The 5,449-nt window shown below is 47.5% G+C and overlaps 1 annotated feature.

Annotated features, from left to right (window-relative positions):
- Window positions 4,483-4,986: an enhancer, noted in NCBI's record as "H3K4me1 hESC enhancer chr13:30651921-30652424 (GRCh37/hg19 assembly coordinates)". NCBI's record gives its function as "activates a minimal SCP1, AML or CMV promoter by ChIP-STARR-seq in naive H9 embryonic stem cells {active_cell/tissue: H9 hESC(naive)}" and the evidence as "EXISTENCE:reporter gene assay evidence [ECO:0000049][PMID:30033119]".

Below are 5,449 nucleotides of genomic sequence, written 5' to 3'. Positions count from 1 at the left end.
CAACAATTTTCAAATAGCAGGTTGACATGGTGCTTGCTAGGCTTAAGATGAAAGGCATTAGAAGCAGCGGTGTGAAAGCAAGATCATGAGGCAGGTAGAGAAGAGGATCAGGGTTCCCTCCTCATATATTGCTTTCCTCACCGACCCAAAGCATGGCCCTGCTAGCACACCTGCGCCCCATCCCTTGCCAGCTCACACCCCTGTTAGAATTCAGCCATGCCTCTGCTCCTTGGACAGGAATTGAAAAATGGAAGGAAGAAAAGGCGGCCTGTCCTACCATGGTATCTGCCATTGCCTAAGAGAAGAGAAGCATTTTAAAAGTGGAATAACATAGCAACGTATCCCAAGCAATCTTTTTTATCACAGCAGGTCTCACTGTCTGAAATAGCCCATCCATGCAGTTAATGCTTTGGGGAGGAGCTGACAAAGTGCTTTTTTCCACAAAAGCCATTGTCATTTCCATGTTCTCAAATTCAACCCTCACATTCTACCAAAAAGGAAATTGCTATGGGTTGGTGTTACTCAAGTTTCTGATCCATTTAAGTTTCTGCTGTTATCAGAGTGGTTCTGCAGCATCAGAGGATTTAAAAATCTGGACTAGGGCATACAGATGTGGTCCACTTGGGGACCCTCATGGGAATAAATTAAATACAGGTTCTACTGGAAACACAGCCTCTGTGTTCACAAGATGCCTTCAGGTGTGCTGAAGAGTCTGACTTGGTTCTTTTTGCCTCATGGGCTTCCCAGGCTGAGAACCTTCATACTCTCTTAATAAAACAAACAAAATGGGAGTGGGTGGGTGCTGAACAAAAGACAGCCATGTTTCCAACAGTGAGAGGGCTCAAACCTTGGTCACAAGTTCCCATCATTGTGTGGAAAGCACTGGGAAGGTGAGAGTCGTGCCTCACCTTCGCGGTAAGCCCAAGGACCTGGCACTTTGCTACCATGTAGAGTGAAGATGTTTGCCAATGGCTGAATAAGTGAAGAAACAGATCACGCTGCTCCTCGATGAGTGCAGTGTTCAGTGCATTGTGAAATGAATGAAGGCCAGTGTTCATGGCACACCAGTTATTCCACAGAATTTTAAATTTCAAAAGCAGAATCAGAGAACAAGGGGATATGGGCTGCTAGTCAGCCCAAGGCTGCCTCATCTGCCATCATCTGTGACTTGGGATTTCCCAGATGCATGCTGTGGATCCCAATGTCTGTATGTGGGGTGGGGTTGGGGGGAAGGTGGGGGCAGGGACCCTAACAGGAGGGACCTCTTGGCCACACCAACTTTGAACATTAAAATGGTTTTTAAAAGATGCCTAGGCTGGGTGTGGTGACTCATGCCTGTAATTCCAGCACTTTGGGAAGCTGAGGTGGGCTGATCACCTGAGGTCAGGAGTTCAAGACCAGCCTGGACAACCATGGCCAACATGGTGAAACCCCATCTCTACTAAAAATACAAAAATTAGCCAGGCACAGTGGTGGGAACCTGTAATCCCAGCTACCTGGGGGGCTGAGGCAGGAGAATCGCTTGAACCCAGGAGGCGGAAGTTGCAGTGAACCAAGATCATGCCACTGCACTCCAGCCTGAGTGACAGCGAGGCTCCATCTCGAAAAAAAAAAAAAAAGCCTGAAACAGTGAAACTGCATCATGAAGTGGCCCCAAAATCAAAGGAGAATGCAAACTCTATGGAGGTAGATGTTTGGGGGTTTTGTTTACTGCTGTATTCCGAATCTCTAGAACGTCTGGCATATAGTAGATGCTTAAAAATATGATTTTGAATGAATGAATGAGAAGCTCCTGCTATAAGTGCTGGGGTCAGCATTACACAGGAAACTTACATCTTACTACCTTTGAAAAATCTTTAGAAAGAGTCACCTCTGTTGAAGTTGTAGATAAGAAAACACAGCATTCAGCCTCTGCAAGGGAAGAAAACACAGTCTGCCTGAGGCCGCCTTCCCTCCCCTACTAGCCCCAATCAAGTCTTCAGATGAGACTGTAGCCCAGCCAATATCTTGTTTGCAACCAAAGAGGGATCCCCTCTCTTTCAGGAGAGACCTTGAGTGTCTCTTGTAATGCCTGTATTGGACACTTTTCATCTTTTTTGATGCTGAGGATTTGAAACCCCTTGATAAGTCTGAAGAATTCCTTGCCATATGGATCTGTGTGGGAGGGACAGTCTGTTTTCTGCCATAGTAACTGAAATAACCAAATGCTTGTTTTCCATAGCAGAGACTGCTAGCTGACCAATAACCCCACTTTCTTTTTTTCCTCCCTGAGGCACACAGCCAGGTTACAGCCTCCGTTGCAGTTGGGCCATGTGACTGAATTCTAACCAATGGCATAGAGCCACCTTCGGGCCTGGCCAATAAAACCTCCCATGCATGGCCGTCTCTCTCCCATTTGCTGGATGTCTCTACCTTGGGCAGCCTTAGGAGCCATATGTTGAAGATGATCCCTTACATCCCTATAAAATGGCATAGATTTGAGGGATTCCCCCACCCCATGGCTGGACATTCTGTGAGATTCTCAGCCAGGATCAATTTCTGTTGCTTGCAAATAAGAACCCAGACTTATACACTGTCAATACAAAGCATCTGCCTATAAAGAAGTTATTTTATAGGTAAATTCAATTGTTAGCCCAGAATATGGTGATCACTGTAGCTGGTCATAGTTTACACAGCACTTATGGAAATTGTTAATACAACACCATTGGCTGTTGGCTGTGACGTGTGGCCTGGAATTAATTCTGACTTTGAAAAGCCTGTGTATGAAGATAACAGGCCATATATCAAATACTTCAGACTGGCTCCCTGGAGAAGAGAAGGGAAGCAGAGATCAGGGAAGAAAGAGAAAAGTAAAATAATAATTAAAAGGGGAAAAATCTAATTGTAACAATATACAAACGCATAGCTCCTACTATCCATCAGTCAGAGGTCTAAGTATTTTTTGTACAATAACCATTTTACCCTTACAACAGGCTTGCAGTGGTAGGCACCATTGCTAACCCTAGTTAACAGAGAGCTGTCGCCAAGGCCACATGGCCACTAAGTGATAGAGCCAGTGTTTGAGAGAAGCAGTTCTTAGTCACGGCTGCACTGACAAGAACCGACGCATCCGGCTAACTCAACTTTCTCTGCCCTTAAAGTACGATCGAGACAACTAAAAACAACTAAGAAAATAAAATAAAAGCTAGTAATGCTTGGCAGGGCACTTGAAATAATTTGAGTAAGGCACTTAATTTTCCCTCCAGTAGCACCGAGAATCTTGATTTCCTAGGTCATGTCAGGTAAAGAACTTGATTGCGGGAGCTTCTTAAAATGGCCTGAGGCGTTCTGGCTGCCTGCCCAATCTGGCTGCAGCCCGAGGCTCTGCCTCAGTTATCTGCAGCACCCAGGTTGTCAGAGCCAACGATCTCTGCAAATTGCCTTTGTTTGTGGGTTGAGCTGACCAAATATGTGGACAGGAAGCCCACCTGAAGGGTATTCGCATGGCTCATCACTTCCCAATGAAAAGGCTGAAAGGGGGAGGTGAGTACCAGGGGCAAGGGGGATCATTTGTGTTGTTGGGAGGAAGAGGAAAATAACTGTTGCCAAGATGCATCAGACCCTGACGAGTATATTCTCCCTGGGGCTGGCAGAGTGATGATAGTTAGCTGCGGCTTTTAATGAAAATGGCAAAGGAAGAGCTTTGGAGGAAGGAGGGTCTCTATGGACTGTTTCATAAGCATCTAGGGTAATTGCTGGGATCCAGGCCATGGCATTGGTGTCTGTCCTCCCACCCTTCATTGACCACTAGACCATTTCCTCTGGGACCATCTGGAGTGGATTTGTCTCCAGGCCTCCTGAAGTGCTGGGCCACAGAGCAGGGAGCTGTCACTCCCCACCCATGGTGGAGGCGCCTGACATTCTACACAGGGGCAGCTTCTCAAAAGACCAAGGCCCTTCCAGGTTAAAAGATCTGGGAGCTGGAGGGAGCGATGTTTTCTCTGCTGGGGGCGCCGTTTCCATGTGTGCATTGGAGCCGTTCACACCTGCAGCCTGAGACCTGAGGGTCTCATGGAAGTCCTGCAGGCTTCTTCCCTGCCCACCACACTCCAGAAATCAAGGCTGAACCCTGTAACTTTTCCAAGGCACCCAGCTTTCTGTGGAAGAATCCAGAACTGTTTGTCTGGTACTGTGCTGCTACTCACCGTATCCCATCTATAGCTGCCACGTTACCAGGTACCGGGGACTGGGGACTCCAGGGCAGGGAATTAATTGTCTAAGAGTTGGGCTGTCGAATCAGGCTATGAGGAGGGGCAGCCTAGCTTTGCCACTGAGTCGCATCACCTCTGCCTTAAGCTCTCCGTGCCTCAGTTTCTTTCCAAGGTAACAATAGTCACCACTTCACAGGTGGTTGTGAGCCGCACATGAGTTAATGTAGGGGAAGCCCATGGAGCACAGCACATGGTAAGTATGAGGTTAAGTGTTAGTTGTCATGACGACAGTGACCTTTCTGCGTGACATGCATGCAGGAGTACATGAATAATAATAACACAGATGCTAATAGCCAGCCCCTACCACGTGCTCACTGCACTCCAGCTTCTCTTCATGCGGGAAAGCCTCCTCGCCCCCTCACCTGATTAGCTCCAGCTCATTCTTTGGGCCCCAGCTCACGTGTTGTTGCTAGGCCGGATATGGGCTCTTTCTACTCCCCTTAACACCCTTTTCTTAATTTTACCATGATGCCTCCCGTCCTGCACTGTTGCTGTTTCCTTATCATTGTAGGTAAGCTCCTGGAGTGGGGACCAGGCCTTTTGTGGTTGCATCCCAGCATTTAGCAGTGACCTGACATGCCGGCTTTGCTGAAGGAATCAGAATTTTTCTAGCTCCAGTGCCTCTGTTGTTCCTTCTGGGAACCAGAAGGGGAAGTTGAGCCCTGGCCAGGGGCTGGAGGGGCCTGGCATCCACAGGCTTCCTGCCCCAGATCACAGCCCCACCAGCAGTGGAAGGCCCTGTTGACAGACTCCTATATTGCAGCAGGGGCCTGAGGCCAGTCACCCACCCCATTCCCTGCACCAGACCTAAAGTCATTTAGAGTCAACAAGAAAGCCTGTCCTCCATGGAAGCTTCATGAGATAAGCATATTTCAGGTGTAATTGGTGTTGGTGAGGGGGCAGTTGGGCGTGATAAATAACAATGCCAGCTCAGTCTCATTAAGCTCTCCCTGTGAAACTTGGTGCCCCGCAGAACGGAAAGCACTCCCCAGTGTGGCTCTGAATGGCTCCTATCTTAAAAATTTATTTAACACAAACAGTTACATTAATGCAAAAGGCAAGTCATTGACACTATAAATAACTTAAGCTAAGTCCTGCTGACAGTGGGAAGTCTGACACATGAAATACTACAATGTTCTCAGCTCTGAATGAGGCAGTGACATTAACATTATCTTCCAGATTCAAAGAAGGGCCACAGG

This window comes from Homo sapiens, chromosome 13, assembly GCF_000001405.40.
Source record: "Homo sapiens chromosome 13, GRCh38.p14 Primary Assembly".
Taxonomy (NCBI): Eukaryota; Metazoa; Chordata; class Mammalia; order Primates; family Hominidae; genus Homo; species Homo sapiens.
The sequence above is the reverse complement of the archived record's forward strand: the minus strand, read 5'-3'. Positions and strand labels throughout refer to the sequence as shown.